Here is a 25,371-nt window from a genome sequence, read left to right on the forward strand (position 1 = left end):
ACCTGCCTGAGCCCAAACTGTGGCCTTCTGCCTTACACAGTCAGTTTGGAACCAGACCTGGGGCTGTGGCCTCAGGTCATCTTCCCCAACTGCAACTTTTAGAGTGCTCAGGGTCCCAAAAGTTGGGAAAGAAACTGTCCACTAGCAGAGGTGGCAACAGACCCATCTTTCTGAGCCCTGTTCAGGGCTCTTTCCATTCTACATGCTAGAAACTGGAGAGAAAGGAGTCACCCAAGCCACACACACTGGTCTCATAGTCCTTAAGGTGCCAAGTTTCCATCCTTAAGGCTCCCTGTGGCTGGGGCCGTCTCACCCAGCACTCCAGGGTCCAGCCCTGATTCTGGACCCAGGTGTTTCCTTGCCCTGGCTCTTGGCTCAGTGCCCCAGCTGGGTCAAAGAAGGGGTGAGGGATGCAGGCCTGCACTGAGAACAGCATTTTGTAGTGCAGGTGGACATTCGGTAACAAGAGGAAACCCCTTTGTTGTATCTTAGGGTGTAAAGAGAAGAGTCTAGCTCTGTCCTGCCCATCGTGCCCCGGCCATGACCCGCACCTTGCTGCAGCTCTGTGTAGCTAATGGAGCCCGAGCGGTCCCGGTCATACTGCTGGAAGAGGTTCTTCCACTGCTGGATGAATTTCCACAGGGCTGAGAAGCCGTAGACATCGATGCGGCCTGACTTGGTCTTGTCAAACATGTCTGAAGGTGAGGAGGGAAAGGAGGGGAGGAAGGCTTCAAGACTGAAGGCCAAGGGTCCCCCTCAGGACCCATTGAGGCAGCCCTTCTCTCCAGGCTGGAGTAGGCGACTTCACAGAACCAAGCCCTGAGGCCCAGATGCCTGCACCTGAGACACCCACATCAAGCGTTGCACCGTCCTCCTACTCTGGACACCTTTAGCCCCACCCCATCCAGAACTGCATTTTCTCTGCAGGCTTGGCACCTGACCCCTCCCTGCTGTTTCCTACAGGGGAGGGAGTACCATTCTACAGAAGAGGAAACTAAGTTAACCTGTAACTAGGCAGGGTCTAGAACTTAAGAAAGATCTCAGGAAAAGAGCTCTCAGTCTAGGGGATCTCACCCTGAACCTAGCTTCCTCCCCACAGTCCTCCCTGGTCAATGAATTTCTCTTCAGAATGTCCACCCACCCACCTACCCACCTACTGTCCACTATCAGGTGGCTCTGCCCCAGCTCAGGCCCAAGGGCAAGGCGGAGACTCACTTATCATCATGAGGCAGGTCTCATCATTGAATGAAGACCAATTGCAGTTGACCAGGGCCTGCTTTAGCTCCTTCATGGAGATATAGCCACTGTGATCTGAGTCCACCGACTGGAACCAGGAGTAGGCCTCAGGATCCACATTGGGAGGGGCGCCACCTGGAGGAAGGGGTGTGAAGGCCATCAACAGAAATGCCAGGAAGGGCCAGCCTCAGTAACTTCCTGGCTACAGGTTTCTCCTACACACGAAGCTTCACAAATTCACCTTCCCTGTCTTCCATCAAGCTGACATTCTTACTCTGATGGAAGAGGACCTTCAGTGAAGATTCATGAGTATTTGCAGTTGATTTCTATTCCATGAGTCCTCTGGAGTTCTCGTATAGTGTTCCAGACACTACTCTTAATTGATTTTATGTTTTTAAGGAACGGGGACCTGTACCCCTGTAGCATTTCAAGAATTCTCTGGAAAAGGTAAACTGCGAGATGGGGGAATGGGTGGTAGATAAAAGTGTAGAAGTGGCCAGGCACAGTGGCTCACGACTGTAATCCCAGCACTTTGGGAAGCCGAGGCAGGCGGATCACCTGAGGTCGGGAGTTTGAGACCAGCTTGACCAACATGGAGAAACCCCGTCTCTACTAAAAATAGAAAATTAGCCGGGCATGGTGGCACATGCCTGTAATCCCAGCTACTGGGGAGGCTGAAGCAGGAGAATCGCTTGAACCCGGGAGGTGGAGGTTGTGGTGAGCCAAGATCACGCCATTGCACTCCAGCCTGGGCAACAAAAGCGAAACTCCATCTCAAAAAAAAAAAAACAAAAAAACCCAAAAAAAACAGTGTAGAAGCTGGTAAGTCTGTCTACCTTAGGACACTGAGTTAACTGGCCACAATCGGGGTCCCTTCACACAAAGACAGCCATGGGCAGTTGTGGAGGACAGAAACCACTGCCTAGTACCAAAGCCCAGTAAGGACAGAGGGAAAAAGGTATGCCTGACTTAGGGATTAGTCTGACTTCCTTGGAAAAATCCGGGCAGGTTCTAGCCATCTTCCTAAAACATCGGTGTCATAGGGGAGCAAGGGCCACAGCCCCAGGGCAGGAGAGATTCTGTGACATGTTTGAACTGTGTAGTTTGTATAGAAGGGCTCAGGCTTTGGAATCAAAGCAGACCTGGATTCAAACCCTGGATCTGATCCTTACTAGCTTGTGTGACTTTAGGCAAAATGTACAATTTTCTGAGTAATGATTTTCACATTTCTAAAATGAACCCATTTCCCCAGAATTGTTGTGATGATTAAATGAGATAACAGCAAAATAAAATCCTCAGCAAAGAGCCTGGAATGTGTGTCTTCTGAGATATTTTCACAGAGAAACGGATATTTAAACTGAGTTTCTCCCCATGGTAGGCTACATTATCGTCTCCTGGCTAATAATCTCTAGCCAGGAGACACAGTCTGCACACCCACAGACATTGTACTAATATGGTACAATGGTTTAAAAGGCCAGTTCAATAATCTATTATTAGATTACTTGCTAATCTCCCCTTCCCTATAAGAGCATTGTACATCCTCTCCCACTGCCTGGTGGCTTGCAGAGGGGCATCCTTTCCCATCCTACTGATGTCAGTCTTGATCAGGGGGTGCTCTGGCCAAAAGAATGCAAGTGGGCAAGACATACAGTACTTCAGAGAAGCTTTAAGAGGCATTGTGCATTCTTGCTAGCTCTCCTGCTCCTTCTCTCTGCCACAAAGATAACATATCCCAAACAGGAGCTGCTCCTTCAGCATGTATCCCTGAATGAAAAAGACACAGGGAACAGAAACTCAACAGCCAGCTAACAGCTGCTGACATGTAAGCAAAAGAAAGTAAGCATGAGCAAGCAATACAAATAAATGCTTGCAACAAAACTAGCTGACAAACTTATCATTTTGAGGATACACACTGAAGCTGGAAGCAAGATGCTAAGGTGCCAGAGACCAGGCTGCCTGCACACCCACAGGAAGGACAAAGGCTGGCCATGGATAACTCAGAACCACGTCAGAGGTACCCGGAGTCCAAGATTACTACTTACCCTGTCCATAAAGCCCAGGCTGCTGGGCACCGTAGGAACTTGGAGGTGGCTGACCATAGGGGCCCCCGGGAGCTGCACCGCCATATGGTCCTCCTGGAGTTCCAGAGGGGAACATCCCAGGATTGGGGTGTCCATAGGGCCCTCCACCAGCTGGTGGTCCATAAGGCCCTCCAGGGGCAGGACCCCCATAACCACCACCAGGGGGTAGCCCACTACCATACTGCCCTCCACTATTGGGGGGTCCAGGGTAGTAGCTACCCGGAGGGGCTCCTGGTGCTTGTCCTGCAGCTCCTGGGCAGCCCTGCAGGAAGAGCAAGATATCAGTCAGAATGATGAGGCCAGAAACTAGGCAGAGTATGGCACTTTACAACCATAAAGCACTTCCACCACCATCCTTTCAACTGATCCTATAGGTAGGGTTGGAATTATGATCTCACTGCTCAGATGGGCAAACTGAGGCTTCCAGAGGAGCAACGAGTTACCCAAAGTCACCCCGCCAATGACCTGCAGAGTCAGGGTTGAAATCCTCCTTTCCTAACTCTCCTTTCCTGCACATCAAGGGGCTCCACAAGGGCTAGGATCCTGTCTGGTTTGTCACTTTATCCCCAGCTCCCAGTGTAGAATGGATACTTGGTAAATATTTCCTGTATGAATGAATAGGCAAATGAATCAAACAGAATTCCAAATGCCCATCCTGTGGTACTCCCATCTCTATCTGCAGAACTCATGGGGCAAACGCAGTCTCTAACACACACCCCTGACCCTCATCAGTCACAAATGACATAGCTATAGCATGGATTCATCCACAGCATGTCTTCCTTACCCTGATGTAAAAACATTTCCCTATCCTCACTCACAACTCTGTGAGGCAGGCAGGGGAGACCCTATTCCTAAGGCAATACGATACAATGCTTTCAAAGGCCAGTTCAACAGCTAGGCGTGGTGGCTCACAGCTGTGTAATCACAGCACTTTGGAAGTCTGAGGCGGGCAGACTGCTTGAGCCCAGGAGTTAGAGACCAGCCTGGGCAACACAGAAAAACAACATCTCTACTAAAAACCTGGGCAACATAGAAAAACTACATCTCTATTTAAAAAATACAAAAATTAGCCAGGTGTGGTGGCGCACACCTATAGTCCCAATGACTCAGGAGGCTAAGGTGGGAGGATCACCTGAGCCTGGGGAGGTCGAGGCTACAGTGAGCCATGATCACACAACTGTACTCCAGCCTGGGTGACAGAGTAAGATCCGATCTCAAAACAAACAAACAAACAAAAAACAACCAGTTCAAGAGTTCAAGTTCAGGTTCTGCCATTTACTAACTGGACTGACTTATCCTCTCTAAGCCTCAACATCTTCTGCTATAAAATGGGAATAATAATAGCTACCTCTCAGGTTAGTTTGTGAATGAAATGAGGCCAGCTATGTGAAGCCCTTTGACATTGGGCCTGACACAAATTAAGCACTCAATAAACACTATTAATAATAGCCTCCTACAGAGGACAAGACTCAAGTCCAGGAAAGTCACACACAGGCTGTGTGGAGGGGCTGGGACCAGAACCTGGGTCTCTTGGCTCTATGTCCAGGGCATTTGTGCATTAGAGCATACATGGGGGCATTCCCTCTCTCATCCATCTTCCCACACCAGTAGCCCTCGGAGTGTTCCGCTCCATCTCCCTAAATGGCTAGCACAGGACCCAGCAGAGCACAGCCCCAACACATCTGCAGACAAGCTGAGCTCAAGGGCACAGACAGCAGCTAGGCCCAGCTCCGAGAACGGCACCATCTAGATACGTTCTAGATCAACCTGTAAGTGCACCAGTGGCCAAGCCACTGAGAGCCTGGGCTTTCTCTTTTTATTGTGTTTGATAGCTTGAAATAATTACTCTTAAGGCTAAGGCCAAATTCATGAGGTTTTTTTGTGGGGAGGGCAGGAAGCAGGCCCTGTCACCCACTCAGCAATCCTTGGGAGCTTTTCTACCCTAGAAGCTGTCATAGCTACTAGCAAGACTCCTTCACAGACAAGAATGGCTCACACAGATCTCAATTTAAAACTCTGCTCCCATCAGCTAAGTTCATGACTGTGGGCCCGTGGCTTCATCTCTCTGAGCCTGCTTCCTCACAAATAGAACAATTCCTTCCTCACTGGACTGTTCTGCAGATTATAAAAAATAAATGCAGCAAAATTCTGTCAGTTTAATTTTTAGCTAAAGAATCCTTTGATAACCAACCTGGGCAACATAGTAAGATCCCACCTCTACAAAAAATTTTTAAAAATCAGCCGGGCATGGTGGTACACATGTAGTCCCTGCTACTCGGGAGGCTAAAGCGGAAGGATCACTTGAGCCTAAGTTGGAGGCTGCAGTGAGCTGTGATTGTGCCACAACACTCCAGCCTGAGTAACAGAGGGAGACCCTGTCTCCAAAAAAAAAAAAAAAAAAAAAAAAGAGAGAGAGAAAGAAAGAATCCTTTGATAAAATAAATAAAACAAATACAAGAAAGTTGCTCTGGCTGAAGTAAGGTGGGAGCTCCAGAGCCCCTACAATATGGAACCCCCTCCCTTGCTACATTCTGAGGGGGCTCTGAAAACCCCTCACAGTGACTGAAAAGACAGTCTGAAAACCACTCACATAAGAAAAATAGTTTTTACAACAGTGCCTGGCATAAAGCAAATGATCAGTAAGTCATAGCTGCTATTGCTATATTAATTACTGTTATCAGCAAAGTCCTGGGCCAGGTGAACTGTGCGGGGTGGGGTATAAAGGAGAGTGAAGCAATCTGAAGGCACTCACAGTTAACAAGACTTAACATGTAGACACTGTGTAACGTCTAACAAAACAGCATAAGGAAAACAGGTGTTTGAAATGGAGACATAAGTCATGTGCCATAGGACTGCAAAGGAAGGAGGGTAAAATCAGGGAGTGTTTCCATGAGAGTGGCATTTGAGCTAGGACTTAGAGAACGAACAGGATTCCCAAGGGGTTGGAGAGGTGTGACAAGAGAAATACCCAGAAGACAAGTCACTTAACCTAACCCCCATTTTACAGATGGGGGAGGGAGGGAGGGACTTGCCCAAGTAATGCTGTGAGCTGGAGGAAGAGACAAGGCTGGACCACTCCCTTGCACCCAATGACTCCCCCTGCCTCCTGCTACAACACTCCTTCATTAAGCAATAGGGCTCAGGATTCCAGCATAGGATGGAAAGGGAGTGGGAACTCTGCAGAATCTGGGCACACCCAAAGAACAGGCCAGACACGAAGCCAGAAGTAGCTGCCCCACTATAAGCCCTGTGAGCAAAGCTATAAACCGCACCTGGCACCTAGGAAAACCCACCTAGGAAACCACCTATAAACCACCTAGGAAACATCCCCAGGCCAACAAAGCAGGTGCTGCCAGGCAGGTCTCCTGCCCTTCTGGCTATTGTAGTCTGGCAGCAATTAAACCCTTTCCTTTCTGTCCTGCATTTGAAGACCTCCTCTGTAGTTTACAAAGTACTTTCACAAACACAAACACTACAGGCAGAATCTTGCCAATGGCCTCCTAACAGAAAAAAGGAAGATGTTAGTTGCCCTCTTTTACAGATGAAGAAACTAAGCCACGGAGCTGTTAAAGGACTTCATTCAGCACGCATTTTCAGAGTGACAATATTGTACTAGGCTCTGTAGTAGATCTGAGGACACAAGTAAATGAAGTCCTGCCCTTAAGGGGCCCACAGATAATTGTGATACAATCTGATCAGTGCCATCAGAAAAATCTACTTATGTGCTATCAAGGAAGCTTAGATGGAGGAATTTGTGCTGTTTGCAGAATGAATAAATGAACAATGTATGAAGTGGGTCAAGGAAAGCTTCCTGGAGGAAGTGGCAGTGATATTGGAAATGGTCCTTGAAGGATGCATAGACATTTTCCAAAAGGCAGGCAGGGAAGGACACTCCAGACAGAAGAGAGAAGAAAGACAAACGCACAGACTTAAGAGTGAGCATAGTGCATTCAGGGAATGAGTTAAACCGCAGAGCCAAGAATGCAGTGTGAACCCAGAAAGGCAGGCCCTCTATACACTCGTTGACCAAGCACCTCTCCCCCTGCATTTCAGTTAGCCGTGAGGTATCAGTGTCTAAGAGTAGTTTCTGTCTAGCATCTCCCCCACCCAACAGTAAGCTCCCCAGGGGCAGACACTGCGCCTCACTCATCATGGCACCCCAGGGCCCAGCACAGTGCCTGGCACCTGCAAGCCTCCACAAATATTTGGACAAATGAACACCACTCTAAAGAGTTTTGTTGGGGCTTTATGCCGGAGAAAACAGAGCACTATAGAAGGGTTTCCAATAGGAGAGGAACGTGATGAGAACCTTGTTTAGAGAAGTAACCAGCGGCGGTGTGGAGGATGAGCCAGTGAGGGAGGCAGTAGCCCAGGTGCTGGGCAGGCAGGGCATGAACCAGACAGCACACTTGGGGATGAAGAGAACGGAATGGATTCTGAAGCTATTTCAGAGATAGACCAGACATGACTTGGTGACTAATTAGATTAGGAAAGAGATGGAGGAGGAGTGAGGAAAGTGTTCAGAATGACTCGGGTTTCTAGCTTTTGCACAAGATGAAGGAGGTGGAGCCAACTGAGACAGAATGCAGGCTGCACAGGAAGTTTGGGGAAGAAGATGAGGTGGTCCCCACCTCACAGAGGGTCACCCAGTGTCACTGAGTTGTTAGCAAAGGTCTGAACCAGAAATGAAAAACAGCATCCCTGACTCCACGTTCTTTTACACTACTCCATGCTCCCAGCCCTTTTTAGAGTTTTTCCAAGAGTTATTTCATACTGATAAACAGGATTGTGAAGGCAGGTGGAGGGGAAGGACAGGAAGAGTTCAGTAACTGCAGCTTCTGAAGCAACACAGAAAAACTATCTCTAGGGCTCTGGCTGATTGCAAATAAGCTACATCTGATGCCCTGGGGGGACTGGGGGCAACAAACATTTACTGAGGCTCTGCTAGGTGCTTCCAGTTCAACCAGCTCTCACTAATCCTCAGTCCTGTGAGGTAAACAGTGTCATCTCCATTTTGCAGATGAGAAAATTAAGGGGCAGAGAGTTTAATAACATGCCTGAGATCATGCAGCTAGAATGGGCAAGTTGGGATTCAAGTCAGGGTCTGCATGACTCTACACTACCCCCTTCTGTTTGTTCACTCAATAAATGAGTGAGTGCCTAGCATGTGTCTGTGTGAGGGACTGTGCTAAATGTCTTTGTCAAATATAATGAATTTCTACTGTGGACAGAGGTAGAGGGGAAGGCTGGATTGGGTGATCTCTCAGAGCCTTCAAGCCCAGAAATCAGGGACTCTTAGAAAAATCTCATTCTTTTTCGTCCCAGCACCTAGAGTCACTTTGAGAGCCAAGCCACATTTTGGAAGACACCCCAAAGACTCTTCAGTTCAACCTCTCAGTTAATAATGGAATCTCTGCAGAACCACCTGGAATCTCTACCTGCACTTGCGCAAGCAGTAGGGAGCTTACCTCCTCCCAAATAACCACCTCAGAAAGTCCGGTATTTTTTTTTTCTTTCCAGTTCTGAGGACTCAAGTCTTCTAACCTCAAGACCCCTGTGAAGCTTAAAGGTATCAACGGCTGTTCCAAGCTGAGCCCTGATGACGAATGGAGGAGGGAGCATTGCAAAGACAAGTTTGTACCCCAGAGCTACCCTTCAAGTGCACAGGAGGAGGTGGGAAGCCCAAACTAAGGGGTTAAACAATCACAGGAAGACAAGAGGAACAGTTCAAGCATTCACCAGCAGAGCCACTTGAAATAGGAGAGAAGCACGCAACCAATAAACAATGAGCCAAGAACCATCCCCAGACTTCAATTACCTCTGTGCTCACACTTTCAAATCTTTCCAGCTTCATCACTCCTGAGCTACAGACCCACATATCCAGCAGCCTACTGGACCTTCCCTCCAAACCCATGCCTCCCTGTGTTCTCATCTCAGTGAATGGAGCTCCGTTCTGCTTAATCATCCAAACCTAAGGCCAAGTTTTCTCAAATCTACCTCCCAAGTGCTTCTCAAATCTCCTCTACCAGGTCACAGTTCTCTTTAGCCTAGATTACCTCAATAGCGTCAAAACCGGTATCCCTGCCTCCTGTCTCTCCTGCTTCAATCCATTCTCACAGCACCCCACAGTAAGCACTCCAAAGCACAAATGGGACAAAACACTTCACTGGCTCCCTCACTACTCTTAGGATGAAGTCACACTCCCCAAAAAGGCATACAAGGCCCTTTGGGATCTGGCCCTTGCTTACCTTTCTAGTCTTATTTCCTACCCCTTTCCCCCACATCACTACAACTACACTGAACTTCTTAAAGTTCCTCCAAAATACTAGGCTGTCTTACCTGCTTCATGGGCTTTGTGCAGCTATTTCCTCTGCTGGAATAGCATTCCTTTCTTCACTCAGCTAATTTCTACCAGTGATTCAGTTGTTGGCTTAAATATCACCTCTTTTAAAAATGCACCCCTAGACTGAGTTAGGTATCTCACTCTCCCGTGCTGTACCTTACACTTACTCCCATTGAATACTTATCACATTGCCTCTTCAATCTGCATAACTGCATTACTCCTCCACTTGGAGTATTCTACATGCCCAACACCATACCTAGCACTTTACGTGGATTTTCTCATTTAATCTTTAGAGTAATTCTGAGGTAGATACTATTATGACCCCATTCTAAAGAAGGGAAAACTAGTCCAGGCGTGGTGGCTCACGCCTGTAATCCCAACACTGTGGGAGGCTGAGGCAGGTGGATCACCTGAGGTTAGGAGTTTGAGACCAGCCTGGCCAACATGGCGAAACCCCGTCTCTACTAAAAATACAAAAAATTAGCCAGGTGTGGTGGCGTGCGCCTGTAATTCCAGCTACTTGGGAGGCTGAGGCAGGAGAACTGCTTGAACCCGGGAGACGGAGGTTGCAGTGAGCCAAGATTGTGCCATTGCACTCCAGCCTGGGCGACAGAGCAAGACTCTGTCTTAAAAATAAACAAATAAATAAAAAATTTTTTTCAAAAAAGGGAAAACTGAGTCTCAGACTTTTGCAACAAACTTCTGCAAGGGAGTGACAAAGCAGGGATTTGAAATCAACTCTCTCTGGCCTCAAAAACTAAGCTCTTAAGCACTGAAATCCACCAAGCTCGTTCCCCCATAGGACCAAAGGGTGCTTGAATTTTACTACTCCAATACCCAGTCCCTGCTTGGGTACCCTGGACTGGAAGCAGTGGAAAATTACAGGAATTCTGACTCCTAACAATAGGCTGGAATCCTCCAAAGCTATGTAGTGGGTGGAGGGGAGGCAGCACTGACTGAGATGCTTTAAAACAACTCGTTTCCTTTCTTAGAACACCTGAGACCAGGAGGCGGACAAGGGTATGGTAGGAAAAAAAAACAACATTTCTTTTTCTATTCCAGACTCTTCTCTCTGTGCTCCTTTTCAGTATTTCACTCCAGGAATAGCCCAGGCAGCATGGCATCATGAGAGCAGTCACGGCAGCAAGAGCTGCCACCAGACACTGGCATGTACTAGGCACTAGCAACACGCCAGGCTCCCTGCATTTTAACCTCATTTTAGCCCTTTTCACAGGTATTATTTCTCCCTTTATACAGGTGAGGAAGCTGAGGCTCAGAGCCCTTAGTTTGTCCAGGGGTATATAACTATTAAGTAATACAGCTAGAATTCTAGCACAGTTCTCTCTAACCTGTCACTGCTTTTAGGATGCACACCAATTGTCCCTAATGCTTATTAGCATGTAGATTCCTGGGTACAGAACAGGTCTGAAGTGGGACCCAAAAGTGTGCTTTCTTAAACAAGCTCTCAGCTGATTCTGAGGCAGAAGACCAGCCACTGGGAAACAAGGCGCTATGAATGTTTTTTCAGCCTGTGTTCCTCAGAAATACTAGAGTCAAAAAAGTGACCAGACATCTGAAAAGAAAGCCGGGAGGCGGAGTTTCTATGGTTAGATATGTTTAAGAAATACTGCATATTATATTCCTTTCTGGATGATTTACAATGTACATTAGCAAATTAAGGATTCTGAAATAGCTTGTGGTCAATAAACTTATTCAGCTATACTTAAGAGTATTTCCAAAACTTTAGTTAACTACAGAATCCTCCTATATTAACAATATCTATTAAAACCTCCCAAGACTCAGCAAATGGAATGGACTTTAGGAAGCAACTGCTATGCTACACTTCCTAACTCCAGCCCGCACTGGCCTCTCTCTTTCCTACCTCTCTCTAAGGATGCAATAAGAGAAGTCCTAAGCTCTGGTCATGGCCTCACCCTCACTTACTACGTGTGACTTTTGGGAAGCCACTTAACCTCTTTGGGTTTGCTCCTCAGCAGTTAATTAGGGGTAATAATACCTGCATGCCGATAGGGACTTCATGATTAGGATAATGGAGGTCCAAACACTGTGTAACCCGCACAAGACTGCACTCCCTGGAAGGACTGTTACATCTTTTGGCCTGTGACTAAACTCAGTTGAGCACTGTGTAATATACCAATTGATCTTGTTTTCCCACATTTCGTTTATGGATTTCATCTCCTAAATAACTGTGTGATCGCAGCCCTCTGTGGGCTTCATTTCCTCCTCTGTAAAATGAGGGCTCTATTTTGAGGACCCTCCGGGCACTGGCCTTTTAGAAGTCTACTAAAAATCAAAATGCTAAAGGGCAACACATGTTACACCTCACTATGTACCAAACGCTTCGTAAGCATCACCTCCTGACTCTCCACAACAGCTTTATGAGGCAGATCCTATTATTCGGCCCTATTTTACAGGCGGAAACTTGGACTCAGAAAGGCAAAACAGCTTGCTCAAGGGCTCACAACTATTTAGGTGGTAGAGCTAAGATATGAACCTACCTCTGACACCAAAGTGCACTTCAACACCCTACTATCACCCAACAAAGAATTCTGGCCACAGAATCACCTTGCTGCGGTATTCCTGACTGAATCAAGATACGCTGGGGAAGAGGCATCTGAAGATAGCCCGGGTTCTGACCTCGGCCCTGCTGCCTAACTGCCTGGTGACTTCAGGTAAGTTCTGTGTCTTCTCGGGGTTCACTTTTCTACACGCGAAATGGCGGTGTTGAACTAAGTCAGTGGTCAAACCAGCTCACTTGTGGCGCCTGCTACAACCAGAGTTTCCTGATGACTCTGATGCAGTGTGGGGTGGGTCCGGAAGCCTGGATTTTTATCCGACGCCCCAAATGAGATCGGCGGAACCAGAACTCTAAACCTCCGGTCATGGCTGATGCCCCCGCCCAAGGCCCCCATGAGGGCCTTGGGAGGCTGTGGAGCCCAGGCCAGCGCCAGCCTGGACCTGTGGGGTCCAAGGTCCCCAAATCCTCGAGTGAGCGACGTCAAGGGGGCGCGACACGACCTCGCGAATGTGCGGTCCTTCATGACGTGAGCAGGGCGCGACCGACGGTCCCTTTTCGGTTCTCTACAGCGCAAGGCCTCGCTGAAGCGAACCCATCGTGGGAAGGGCGCGGAGAAAGCGGGGAGAAAGAGCAGGGGGACGTCGGGCCTGCGCCTGGCACCGCCGCTACCTGGATTCGCGGGCCCCTCACACACTCACCTGCCGGTAAGGATAGCTGGCCATGGTGATTCTGACGTCACACTCAGGCAAGGGGTGGGGCTTTCCGCTCTCAAACCCGCCCCTCGTCTCGGCTTTGGGGCTGGGCCCGCATCTGATTGGACGTCCGCGCCTGTCAATCTTGGGTGCTGTCGGCCGACGGAAGTGACGATGGGGGCGGTGGGCGGATGCCTACCCGAGAGACCAGGGGAGCTAAGTGATTGATGGAGCTTCCGGAAGTCTTGGCGGCTGTACCAGCGCTAATGTTCCTCCTTTTCCTGAGGTGGAGTGGGCCGAAGAGGTGGTCAGGTTGGGAAATTTAGTGAGAAGCCTGGGTGGGGTGTTGCTGCGGTAGCCATGTTATAACCTGGCAAATGGGACGCATGATAGTGACGTAATTGCTGGAGTAGCTCCTGAGTTTCCGCAGATGAGCCGCGGGAAAGGAGACGAGGGGCGGTGGCCAGGCGGTTGCCCTGACAACGGGGAACCGACCGACTCTTCCCGGTAGGGAGAGGCGATGGCGGAATTACTCCTCTAATGTCAAGGTACTGGGTACCAGTTAGTACCCTTGTAGTGGGATACAGATCTGTGGTCTTTGGAGAAAAAAACCCCAGATCATTAGAGTTGGAGGAAAATTGAATTATCTAGTGCCTCTTTCTTCATAAATGGGGAAACTGAGGTGCAGAGAGGCAGTTGCCTTGCCCTAGCTCACAGTGGGTCGCCTAGAACCGGGGTCAATGGATGTCCAGTTCTCAGCAGGGAGGTCTAGGTCGGTCCCCATCGTAGGTCAAATCCTGGTGACCGAGTGATCTCAGCACCATGTACTTGCCACTCAGTGGTTCCGTTTCTACACTTATTTGTGTGCTTATTTGATTTCTTTGTCAAGTTCTTTCATGTGGGCTAGGGTTTTGTCTGTTTTTGCTTGTCATTATAACTCCAGTACCTAGTATAGCGACTGACACGATTATTAAAATAAATGAATAAATGAATGTTACGAACTGTTATCCAGTCTAGTCCATCTATCTAACCAAGTGCACTTTCCAAAATCACAGTGCTGATCATGCCACTTGCCCACTACACAGCCTACAATGGATGCTCTTCATCCACGCCTACAAAATAAGGCCCAATCTCTTCATTCTGGTACTCCAGGCCCTTCAGAATCTGGCCCAGCCTCAACTTTCCAATCTTACGGCCCCTTCTGCTACTCTGTATTTCTGTGCTCAGTTCCACCATTCAGCACTTCTGCTTTGGAGGGAGGATCTTTGTTTTATCACTTTCTAACTGTATCACCTTAGGCAGGTTTTTTGTTTGTTTGTTTTTAATTTCCAACTTTTAAGATCAGGGGTATATGAGCAGGATGTGGTTTGTTACATAGGTAAATGTGTGCCATGGTGGTTTGTCGCACACATCATCCCATCACCCAAGTGTTAAGCCCAGCATCCATTAGCTATTCTTCCTGATGCTCTCCCTCTTCCCACCTCCCTCTACGCTCCGACAGACCCCAGTGGTGTATGTGCTCTCCTCATTCAGCTCCCACTTATAAGTGGTAACATGCGGTGTTTGGTTTTCTGTTTCTCTGTTAGTTTGCTGAGGATAATGGCTTCCAATTCCATCCACGTCCCTGCAAAGGACATGATCTTGTTCCTTTTTTATGGCTGCATAGTATTCCACAGTGTATATCTACCACATTTTATTTAGGCAAGTTATTTAACCTCTCTAAATTTCACTTTTCTTAGCTGACAGGAACAAATGTGTAAATTTGAAAATGAGCTTATTATACCTGCTCATGCCCCAAACTTAGGTTCAAACCACTCCTTTCACCTGGACCAGCAGCCCTCCCAACTCCAGTCCTGCAAGGCTCAGTTCCAATTCCATTCTCCACCTAACCCTCCCACATTCCCCTTAGCTCCAGAGTTAGCCACTCTCTCTTGCCACTCCCCCTTTGCACTTGGTACTGTCACTGTGTGGTATTCCAGCCTGCCTTGTATAAGAGTTTTCTTTTGGTGTTTTCCCCAAAACCCATTCCTCTCCATCTCAGAAAATCCACCCAGTCTCTCAGGCCAAAAACCTAAGATCATTCCTGTGTGTCCTTTTTTTCTCCACACACTCCCTCACCTCCCTCATCTCCATTTGCTCTAATTCAAACATGTACACATCTGCTCTTTTCTCCCTGTTCGCACTATCACTGTAGTCCAAGACACTATCATCCGTGCCTGGATCACTACAATAGCCGACTGACCAATGTTCCTGCTCTCACTCTTCTCCCCACGCTTCATTTTCTCCACAGGCAGCCAGAGTGGTTATCTTATTCCTTGGCTTCAACTCCCTGGGGACTTCCCATCACTCTTATAATAAAAGCTAAACTCATCCTAATGACATTCATGGCCACACATACCAGCATCTCCAGCCTCATTTCTTGCTGTTGCTGTCCCCCTTGCCTCATTCCAGCCATGCCGGCCTGGTTGTGCCATTCCTGGAATGTACAGAGCTCATTCCTGGATGTTGGCTTTGGCTGGTCTCTGACTGCCTGCTCATTCCTGCCTCCAGGTCTTTGGACTAGCTTTTCCCTCTGTCTGGGATAGTCTTCCCTTGACTTTTCACTGGTTGGCTTCTCCTTATCATCCAGGTCTCAGTTCAGATATCACCTGGGGTGGGGGGAGTTTCTTGACACTGCCCCCCAAGCATTCCCATCATCTATCTTATTTTTTCATAATACATGTCACTAGTTGAATTGTCCACTTTGTTTACATGTATATTGTAGAATTGTCATTTTCTTATGTAGTCCTCTAACCTCAGCACCTAGAATAGTGCCTAGCATGAATTCAATGTTAGTAGTTATTATTATCATGTATTGAGTGCTTACTAGGTGCCAGACGTTGTGCTAAGTACTATGTGTTGTTTAATTTTCACCACAGTCTTTTGAGATAGAGACTATTACCCATTTATAATGAGGAGCTGAGGCTCAGAGAGGTTAAGTGACCTTCCTGTTATCAAAAAGATAAATGGAGCCCAGGCGCAGTGACTCGCGCCTATAATCCCAACACTTTGGGAGGCAGGGAGGAGGACCGCTTAAGCCTAGGAGTTCGAAACCAGCCTGGACAACATAGTGAGACCCTATCGCTACAAAAAATAGTTTTAAAAAATTAGCCAGGCATGGTGGCATGTGTCTGGAGTCCCAGCCACTCCAGAGGCCAAGGTGGGAGGATTGCTTGAGCCCAGGAGGTCAAGGCTGCAATGAGCTGTGTTTGCACCACTGCACTCCAGCCTGGGCAACAGAGAGACTCTGTCTGGGGAAAAAAAAAAAAAAAAAAAAAGATAAATGGAGAAGTAGGACTTGATCCCAGGTCTGCATTTTTTTTAACTACTCAGTATTTAATAGTTAGTAGATTGTGTCTTCTTTACCTTCCTAACCCCCCAGTTCAAAAAATATTGGTGGAATTGAGCTGCAAAACTTCAGAAGGGAAGAAGGTTGAAGGTCAAGTGGGTATTTGCCTGGAGAGAGAACAGTGACAAGCTGGCCTGCAAACTGGAGTCATGTGACACACACTCATTTATTCCACAAACATATGATCCCATTGGGTTCCCACCTCTTGCCAGGCTCTGTTCTAGGTGATGAGAATCCAACTCCTATGAGAATTATTTGCCCCCATTCCCCTATGCCCAGCAAAGGGCTTAGGAGAACTATCTGTGGGAGGTCTGTGCTATTTCGTGGATGGAGCATCCACATCTTCTCTTAGGGAGTCAGGAACGTGCCAAAGCCAACAGCCAGGGCTGTGCCTCTGAGGACCCACACAGGCCCAGGTATGTTTGTTTTGGAGGGGGCTGGATAAAAGAGAGATCAGGATCTTCCTAAGACTGAAAAACAATCAACTCACTTCCAAAACCTCATCTACCTGAGGCAGACAGAGGTGGGTGGAGAAGTTCCTGTTATTGTTTCACTTGTAGCCCAAGGGGAAAGCATGGATTCCAGACTTTTTTTAGAACACAGAGCACTTTCCTGAGTTCGTGGAAGCCCTGCGGTTGACCCATTAGGGGTGAGGCAGAGCTTGGTAATGAAAAGCCCATCCACTGGAAAATATTGCCTCCCCTAGAGACACAGCCTCCCAGGAGCCACTTGGCTCGCACCAAGCTTCTGTAAGGCTTACTGAGAAGGAATACCAACACCCACCTAATTATTATGGAATTAATTCTCTTTGATTCCAACTAGATCCAGTTCTGAAATTTAAATTCCAGTTGGATGCTGTGGATCAGAGGATGATTTGCAACTTTCCACAGAAGCAACAGAGGAATGAGAACAGCAGACGTGGCAATTTGGCCACACTCCCCTTCCATTATGGGATCATAAGTAGAGTACGTTGACATCGTCTATTCCCATAAACTGTTCAGGACAGCCACAAAAAAGATCTAGTCCTTTGGGATCTCCAGCACCAAAAAAAAAAAAAAAAAAATATCCATGGCCGGGCACGGTGGCTCACATCTATAATCCCAGCACTTTGGGAGGCCGAGGCAGGCAGATCACCTGAGGTCAGGAGTTCAAGACCAGCCTAACCAACATGGTGAAACTCTGTCTCTACTAAAAATACAAAAATTAGCTGGGCATGGTGGCTTGTGCCTGTAGTCCCAGCTACTCCGGAGGCTGAGGCAGGAGAATCACTCGAACCCTGGAGGTGGAGGTTGAGTGAGCCAAGATCGCACCACTGCACTCCAGCCTGAGTGACAGAGTGAGACTCTGTCCCCCCACCTCCAAAAAAAAAAAAAACTAGTCTTGTAAAGGGGTTAACAGACCCCAGATGAAGAAAGAGTCTAATTAGATTCTGTTGAATTTGAGTGACAGAGGAAAATATTATGACAAAAAATGAAGATTTAAATTCCAGAAGCATCAAAGTTTAGATTTTTCTCTGCAGAATAAATACACAGCAGCCTTTTCTCCATCTTATTGAGCAGAGGGTTTCTCAAATTAAGGACCCTCCAGTCCCATCCTTCACACTGCCATCAGCGAACTCCCCACTCGGCAAACCTGACTTGACACACCTTTGTGAGAAACCCACCAGTGGCTTCCAACTGTCTTCCCTGCTCATGCTCCAAAATCCAATCACACTGTCCTGTCTCCCGTCACTCAGCCTGCTGCAACCAGTCATTTCTGGGCCTTGGCACGTGCTGTTCCCTCTGCCTGAATCCATCTCTTCGTCTAGACATGGTTAGGTTCCCCAGCTGTGCACTCCCCTGTACCTGGCACTGCCCTATCATCCCACTTTATTGTAGGTGCTTGTTTAACTGTCTGCTCTCCCTGTGGATGCTGTGGGAGCAGGGACCATATCTGTCTAGTTTGCCTTGGGATCCCCAGAGCCTAGTACAGTCCCTGGGACAAAGTAGGAAGAGGAATGGACTCATCAAGTTAGACTTTTCCAATCTGAATGATCTGTGTGCTGCCTGGAAAGCCTGGAGTAGGTTAAGAAATGAAGACAGAAGGATAATGGGGTTGGAACGTGCAAAAGCTGCCTAAGAGGAATGGACGACACATGCCCCTCCTTGCTTTCTCTTCAGCTTACCCAGCTCCTGAACTGATGAGCAAGATCCATGGATTTCTTGCTGACCACAGTAACAGAAGAGACTATAAAATTCAGCTTTCCATCTGGTTCTTCATGGTCCAAGAAAATACAGCAATTTCAAACTCCGGGGAGACATGCATTCAAATCATGAAAGCTTAAACCTAGCCTGTCGTAGAATCCCTTAAGAGTAGCATGAATTTGACTCAGGAAGAAAAGTGAAGAAGGCATCATTTACTCTATAAGGATCAATTCCCTGGTGACCCTTAAAGGGGATGAGTTGGATGTTTCCTCATAGCAGTTTTTCCCCTCTGGCCTTCAAAGCCAACCTGCTCAATTCCACAGCTGGTCCTTGCGTCTCTTTCTTTCTGCCAGCGCCAACATGCTCCTCATGAGAAGGCCTATCATCAGCTAGTACTCGGCAGACTAGGCTGAAAGAGGAAGCTGGCCTTCCAATGGGAGTGCTTTAACATCTGTCCTCTTCCACTGTCCAAAACCTGGCTGCTACTTCAGTACAAAAATGATGCCTTTGCTTTTTAATGTTTTATGTTAGAACCAGGGTTAACTGAGAATAGCTGGGGAGGGATGAAAAAAGAATCAGCGCCTCCTTTATCTAAAAACATCACATGAGACACTCGGGCATGCTCAGGAGTCTGATTTCATTCTTCTGGCCACCAGCACACCTTTGCTCCTGGCAGGAAAAAAAAAAATAGGGCAAAGGTTCTGAAAAGCCATCAATAGGCTGGTCTCCTGGTATTTGGGACCCAACTAGAGAAGGGAGTTTTCAGAAATGTGCTAGAAATACCAGCTCTGCAGAGATTTGACAGCCGGTTTGAAGGCTTCAGGCAGTTTGGATAAGCATCTAGACTTTGGGTACATTTCTGAGCCTGCTCTGTGAGTCCTTTGAAGTGTATCCAACTTGAATAAACCTTCCAGATAGCTGGGGCCAGTGAAAAAGCTTTCTTTGGAAATCCCCCTGGAAGTGCCTTGTTGCTTTCTCACAGGGCAGCCAGCCCATCAGGACAAGAGATCTAAAAAGTAGAGAAGGAAGAAGCTCAAGAGAGAATGTTTCTATAATATTCAATTCACTGTCTTTTTTCCCCTTCCTAGCCTTTTTTACATAGGGAGAAGGACACAACAGATAGATCACCAAACTCCCAGTGGACTTTGAGGACCGTGAGCTTAGATCTGCTCGTGGCTTGCCCATGAACTCTTTGTACTGATACAACCTGGCTGTTTCTAAAGGCCTAGGCTAAGATGTACAGGAAAAGTACCACGTATATTAGAATAATAAAGAAAAACAGGAGATGTTATTTGCCCTCCAGAAAGTCATTGCTGGAAGCACTTATAGAGAGCTAGTGACCATGCATTGGTACAGGCAGAAGGTTCCATCTCATTTCCCAGAGAAGCATTCCCTGGATGCCTAGGACAGAGCTGGAGCCTGTCTTCTCTCCTGTTTGCACAGGTATTCTAATCACAGAATTACTGGAGCATCAAGAAGTGCCTGCATGCTTGGAAGGGCTTCCAGGCAGATGAACACACCTCAGCACCGGGTGGCATTTTCCCAGGGTGCAACCCGGACCGGCTCTGGGTCACACTGACAAGGTGAAGTGGATGGGCAAAGAGTGGGTGGGGTACTGAACACGGGTTTCTTTAGGGAATCAAATAGGGAGGGACCTTTAAAGCAGGAAGTGGGACCTTCCAACGTGCTTTGGTTCACTTGAGAGAAGAGGCTGAGTGATGCTCCTTCTCTAACTCAAGAGACGTAGGCATGAAGAACAGGGCACAAGATCCCGAGGAGCAAAGGGTCATCAGCTGCCCCCATCCAGCAGAATCTCACAGCACCACTGGCTGACCACAGGCAAGGAGGGAAATACCCTTTATTTTTTAATTTTTATTTTTCGGAGACTGAGTCTCATTATGTTGCTTAGACTGGTCTCAAACTCCTGGGCTCAGGCGATCCTCCCACCTCAGCCCCTTGAATAGCTAGGATTACAGGTATATGCCCCTGTACCCAAAATGCCCTTTTTTGTTCCTGGGACTAAACGGGAAAAGGAGGGCAACAGGGAGCTCTGGCTGCAGCACCAGAGGAACCCACTGGAAGGGAAAGGGCAGATAGTTTTGTTTCTTTATTATTTAAAAAATATTAACAGCAATTAAAAACAACAACAACAACAAAAAAAACATTCACAACCTGTCACAGAGTCCTATAAGCTTTGGCCATTTATTCCCAACGGAGTCTTTCATCCAAAGGCAGGTGGGGAATTTCAGCCAAAAGGCCCCTTCATGGTTTTCATGGGTGGGTACTGCTGCTCCATCGGCATGGCCCCAAAGCAGTCAGAGGGATTACAGTGGCCAGCCTTGCCTGGCTGGCCCATGGGACCCGGGGGCCCAGGGATGCCAGGGATGCCTTGCTGGCCCATTGGTCCTGTTGCACCCATCTTGCCATAGCCTGGAGGACCTTGAGGACCTAGGGAGGGAAGGGCCACAGAGGGAAAATCAGAAGACCCAGATCATAAGGGAAAAGAAGCCATAATGGCATCAAATAATACCTTACATTTGATGACTGTTTCTCAAGTTACCACATGTTTTCATGAAGACCTAGTCTGATCCTCACGTTGATTTAACAATAACAATACTGCTGGCAAGTTTTATTTAGAACTTCCATGTGCCAGGCACAGGGCTGAGTGCTTTTGATGCATTATTCATTGAATCTGCACAATTTCCTGAGAAAGAAGCTATTGTCTAATTTTGTAGATGAGGACACAGGCTCAGAGAGGTTGCACCTCTGGTAAGTTGTGATGCTGGGTCTCAGAGCCAGGTCATCAGGCTTTGGCCATCCTCTTTCAGGCTATATAGCCAAACATTCATCGTAGAGAGCACTTCCAAAGGGCTTAAGTGGCCTCTTCAAGGTGTACAGCCAGTGAGGTGCTGAGTAGAACTTGAACTCGAGTTCCTCATCCCCACCTCCATGCAGCTCTCTCCTACTGCATCATGCTAGCCCAGTTTAGGACTTAAGGACAGGTACTGAGTCTTCCGCCCCCACATCCCCACAGGCCCTGGCAGAGTGTCTTGCACACAGTGGCATTCCTATAAATGTGGTTGACTGGCCTGTCGTTATTTGGAGTTTGACACAGCTGTGTCATAGAAGAAACAGAAAGAAAAGGGGTCTCTGCTGCTCTGGATTCATGGTCTCAAATGGTGGTATTTCCTACCTGGGGGGCCGGGAAGACCATTTTCTCCTGCAATGCCAATACCAATGTCCCCTTTTTCACCTTTGGTACCAGGCAATCCTGGAACAAAAGAAATAAATAAGTCCTATCCCTGAGCAGAAAAATGACACAGCCAGTCAGATTACTTGAAACACACACACACACACACACACACACACATACATCCCATATTCACAACAGACCTCATGGAATACTTAGGCCTGCCCCAAAGAATTACATGTGTCCCTTGGGAACTGTAGGGCAGAGCTACCTCTTACTCCTGGCAAGCCCTGCCGTCCTTCTCTGCCAATCTGACCAGGGAGCCCAGGTGACCCTGGAGCACCTGGCCTGCCCGGAGCACCATCCTTCCCTGGAGGCCCTGGTCGTCCCGGAGCTGCCGCCATCTCCATGGGGAACTGCATCCTGGAGGTGTAGTAAGCCATTCTCTCTGTAAAAAAAGGACAAGGACAGGGACAGGTCAGAGGGTCCCCCAGGGACTCAGAATGACTGCAGATGCTGCATATAGGCCACCAGCATGAAGTCCACAGCAGCCTTCCTTCACAGGGATGTCAGGGCAAGGAGTATGGGGGTGGGTCTCGCAAGGGGGTTCCCACGTCCTGGCCTCCACGTCGCTCCCCATGGAGATCCTTCCAAAGCACAGATCTGACTATGGCATCTCTGCTCCAACACCCCTCATTAGTTCACCGCTGGCTTCAGAATAAAGTCCGCATTCCTTGCTTGGCATTCAAGGTCTGCTTCCCAAGCAAGACGTCCAGCCCTTTCAGGACAGGGCCTGTGTTTTCCCCAGTCCCTGGCACATCAATGTTGGATGAACAAATGAACAGAAAAAAACACTTCAAATAAACCACCCCAGCCATCTTACAGTGCCGCTCGCCCCTGTATTTAGAGCTCACTTCAGGCAGACTCGTTTAATACCAATTTTCTTGTCTGTCTCCTTTGCTCAAGTGGGGGCTCGGGGAATGCAGGAGGGAATCATTTTATCTCTGAACAGAACAGGTGACAAGGAAGGTCTGAAGGATAATTGAACATCTGCCTGTCAACCCCAGGCCTGTGAGTGTGTGGAGGGTGAGAGCAGGAGGACATTGAGCGTTAAGGAGAAAGAGGCCAAGGCAGGGCAGAGAAGTCACAAGGAAGGGCAGACAGCACCCACTGCCACCCAGCTGGCTGCCAGTTACCATCAAACATTTTAATGATCTCTTGTCTGATGAACCTCTTGATTTCATCATAATTCACCATGTCTCCCTGAAGAAAGAGAAGAAAACCTGCCTCAATTATACTTCCAAGCCTGGCATTTTCCCCTATGGAAATAAAGGATGGGGAGGAAGGCAAAGGTCCCAGGAGCCTCCCACAGATTCTTTTTTTTTTTTTTTTTTTTTTTTTTTTCTGAGACAGAGTCTCACTTTGTCACCCAGACTGGAGTGCAGTGGCGCGATCTTGGCTCACAGCAACCTCCGTAGATTCTCAATCCAAAGTCCTAACCACCCAGATATGATACAAAACATTTTGTTCTTAAGTGCATTTTTCTGGGGAGAGGGTCCTATCATCCCCACCCTTCCGCACACAGTTAAGAGCTGCCCTCTATGGGAGCCAGGCTCTTTCCCACAGAATGTCAGCAGGAGCTTGGAAGATGATCCGAGCTCCACCCCACATGCCTGCTCTATGGGACAGTGCCCACAGCTGCCAGCCTTCCCCCTTACCATGGAGCCAGGCACACCAGGCAAGCCAGGGCTCCCCGAAGGCCCCGGAGCTCCAGGGTGGCCTCTCTCTCCTGCAGGGCCCGGTGGCCCAACAGGCCCCATGGAACCACTCTTGCCAGGTCCACCAGGCATGCCGGCTCTCCCCTTCTCTCCTGCCTGGCCCTTCTGTCCTGCAGCTCCTGGATCACCCTACAAAGATAGATACTTAGTGCTGTCAAATTTACATCATGATGTCTCACCAATCTGCTCTTTTCTCTCCACCCTCCCACCAGGCCCCCAGCGTCTCCCTCTAGACTGTGGCCACAGCATCCTGACAGGTCACTCCACCTCACTGCCCCAGAGTGGTCCTTCTAGAAGACAGTTCTCCTGGTGTTACTCCCTGCTTAGAAATTCTGATGGCTCCCAAATGTCCTCAGGATAAAGCACTCATTCGTTGGCCGGGCATGCAAGGCCATTCATTATGTGGTCCTGATCGTTCCTTCCTCAGCCTCCTCTCCCCACCCTCTGCCTCCCACCAGACCTCACTGGTGATGATTCTCTGATTCTGCCATGTTGTTATGGTCCTGAATGCCCTTCCCCTCATCTCTCTCTATCCAGTGCACCCCTCCTGAGCTGAAGTGTTCCTGTTCTCTCTGCAGCCTCTCCGACTCCCCAGGCTGGGTTGGGTGCTCCTCCCTCTCATCCCACAGCGCTATGTCTCATGTCTTCTGGAAAACTTGCCAATCCCTAGTGTAAGTGTGACTGGTCTATTGTGAGCACCTATTGTTCAGGGACCTCTGTTTACCTGAGGCCAGGACAAGGGCCTGGAATGTGAGCAGGAGCAAGGGAGTGCTCGGGAAATGGAAACAATGAATGAATCAATCAGTCAATCAGTGAGTAAATGAACTGGAGATTTCCTTCCCCCCAACCACAGCTAATGACCCCATGTGAGAAATTTTCAGACACTATCCTGCTCCAAGTTCTGCATTTTTGCCCCCTGCCCACTGGCCTTCCTGTGTCTCCTCTCTGTGGCTAAAGCCGTAACTTGCAGCTGGGCTTCATCCACTCGTGAGCTTCTCCTCTCAAGCCCAGCCAGTGCCCACTCACCTTGGGACCAGGAGGTCCATAGAATCCCTGCTTTCCAGGGGGTCCCTAGAGGAAAGCAAAAGTCAGAGGTGAAGTCCGGGCAGCATCTCTGAGGCTCCCTGGGGAGGCAGGTGCAGTGAAGAGGCCCCTTCCACAGCCTGAGGCCCCCAGGTGTGTCCAGCCCAGCTCTGTGTGAGAAAGGAGCGCAGCCTCCCTGCCCAGCTGGAAGGGAAAATAATGTCCTCTGGGGCATGGCCTTGTTTAAGCATGTTGGCTGGGCCCCCATCACAGATGAAGAGAGGCGAGAAGTCAGAATGAGAGGGCCAGTCTGTGGCATACTGGGGGGCCTGGAAAGACCTGGTACCCAGGAGATGTTTGTTTGGAATTTATTATTATCATTATTATTGTTGTTGTTGTTGTTTCTTTTTGACCAGGTACAGGGTTTAAAAAAAAAAAAAAAAAGGTAAAACAAATCTCACTCCCATCCTTGGCCTCAAGTCTCTAATTCCTCTCCCCAGGACAACAGGGTTAACAATTTCCAGAGACAGCCCGTACATAGAAGGAATGTTTACTGAAAAAAATGAAGAGGGGTCAGGGCAAGGCGAGGAGCAAGAAGCACCCCCAAGGAAACAGAGAAGACCAGTACAACTGTACCTCTTTGCCAGCTGCACCATCCGTACCAGGTTCGCCCTGGGGAGTAGAGAGCAATGGAGACATGAGGAGCTCCAACCCAGTTTGGTGTCAGATGCCTCACTTTGTACATGGGGCAAGCCCAGCCCCCTGTTCCACCCAGAGGCCACGATCCTCCAGCCCTCACCCTCTGACAATCTGGGCACAGGCCGTGGAAACTTAGACCCCCACCCCATACTCCAGCGTGATCCCAGAGCCCCAACAGCTCCCAGCCCCCGTCTACAAGAGCTTTACAAGGGAAGAACA

General features: G+C 48.4%; 3 protein-coding genes and 1 long non-coding RNA gene across 28 annotated transcripts in view, besides 3 other annotated features; 2 read left to right on the forward strand and 2 right to left on the reverse strand.

The window, feature by feature from the left end:
- HCRTR1 (hypocretin receptor 1) overlaps positions 1-2,549 on the forward strand; it is a 16,804-nt gene extending 14,255 nt beyond the window's left edge. Inside the window, exon 7 of the mRNA XM_017001107.2 lies at positions 493-2,549. Within this exon, the coding sequence (XP_016856596.1) occupies positions 493-575 (83 nt within the window). The 3' untranslated portion in view covers positions 576-2,549. The remainder of the gene's footprint in view (positions 1-492) is intronic.
- PEF1 (penta-EF-hand domain containing 1) overlaps positions 1-12,933 on the reverse strand; it is a 15,011-nt gene extending 2,078 nt beyond the window's left edge. The window contains exons 1-4 of one of the 8 annotated variants that reach the window (NM_012392.4): positions 12,898-12,933; positions 3,279-3,579; positions 1,216-1,371; positions 552-695 (exon numbers count right to left, since the gene is read on the reverse strand). In NM_012392.4, the coding sequence (NP_036524.1) occupies positions 552-695; positions 1,216-1,371; positions 3,279-3,579; positions 12,898-12,921 (625 nt within the window). In that variant the 5' untranslated portion in view covers positions 12,922-12,933. Of the gene's footprint in view, positions 1-551; positions 696-1,215; positions 1,372-2,722; positions 3,001-3,278; positions 3,580-9,656 lie in introns of those variants that run through there. The other 7 variants (XM_011541745.2, NM_001359651.2, XM_017001680.2 and 4 more) reach the window with 7 other exon arrangements.
- Positions 12,193-25,371, forward strand: part of PEF1-AS1 (PEF1 and COL16A1 antisense RNA 1) — a 16,034-nt gene continuing 2,855 nt past the window's right edge. Inside the window, exons 1-5 of one of the 4 annotated variants that reach the window (NR_184311.1) lie at positions 12,193-12,353; positions 12,769-12,903; positions 19,906-20,045; positions 24,009-24,242; positions 24,954-25,118. This is a non-coding gene — a long non-coding RNA (PEF1 and COL16A1 antisense RNA 1). Of the gene's footprint in view, positions 12,354-12,768; positions 12,904-13,113; positions 13,440-19,905; positions 20,046-23,967; positions 24,243-24,953; positions 25,119-25,371 lie in introns of those variants that run through there. The other 3 variants (NR_184313.1, NR_184312.1, NR_184314.1) reach the window with 3 other exon arrangements.
- Positions 12,663-13,433: an enhancer, noted in NCBI's record as "NANOG-H3K27ac-H3K4me1 hESC enhancer chr1:32110207-32110977 (GRCh37/hg19 assembly coordinates)". NCBI's record gives its function as "activates a minimal SCP1, AML or CMV promoter by ChIP-STARR-seq in naive H9 embryonic stem cells {active_cell/tissue: H9 hESC(naive)}" and the evidence as "EXISTENCE:reporter gene assay evidence [ECO:0000049][PMID:30033119]".
- Positions 12,753-12,822: an enhancer, noted in NCBI's record as "active region_647". NCBI's record gives its function as "activates an Ori minimal core promoter by ATAC-STARR-seq in GM12878 lymphoblastoid cells {active_cell/tissue: GM12878}" and the evidence as "EXISTENCE:reporter gene assay evidence [ECO:0000049][PMID:35858748]".
- Positions 13,063-13,402: an enhancer, noted in NCBI's record as "active region_648". NCBI's record gives its function as "activates an Ori minimal core promoter by ATAC-STARR-seq in GM12878 lymphoblastoid cells {active_cell/tissue: GM12878}" and the evidence as "EXISTENCE:reporter gene assay evidence [ECO:0000049][PMID:35858748]".
- The window catches only part of COL16A1 (collagen type XVI alpha 1 chain), a 51,755-nt gene continuing 46,703 nt past the window's right edge, over positions 20,320-25,371 (reverse strand). For all 15 annotated transcript variants that reach the window (XM_047446435.1, XM_047446431.1, XM_017000339.2 and 12 more), the window contains 7 exons: positions 25,090-25,125; positions 24,457-24,501; positions 23,371-23,559; positions 22,849-22,915; positions 21,924-22,100; positions 21,656-21,733; positions 20,320-20,910 (listed from right to left, as the gene is read on the reverse strand). In XM_047446435.1, coding sequence (XP_047302391.1) covers positions 20,708-20,910; positions 21,656-21,733; positions 21,924-22,100; positions 22,849-22,915; positions 23,371-23,559; positions 24,457-24,501; positions 25,090-25,125 — 795 coding nt within the window. In that variant the 3' untranslated portion in view covers positions 20,320-20,707. The remainder of the gene's footprint in view (positions 20,911-21,655; positions 21,734-21,923; positions 22,101-22,848; positions 22,916-23,370; positions 23,560-24,456; positions 24,502-25,089; positions 25,126-25,371) is intronic.

The sequence above is a fragment of the Homo sapiens genome, chromosome 1, assembly GCF_000001405.40.
Source record: "Homo sapiens chromosome 1, GRCh38.p14 Primary Assembly".
In the NCBI taxonomy this organism is placed as follows: Eukaryota; Metazoa; Chordata; class Mammalia; order Primates; family Hominidae; genus Homo; species Homo sapiens.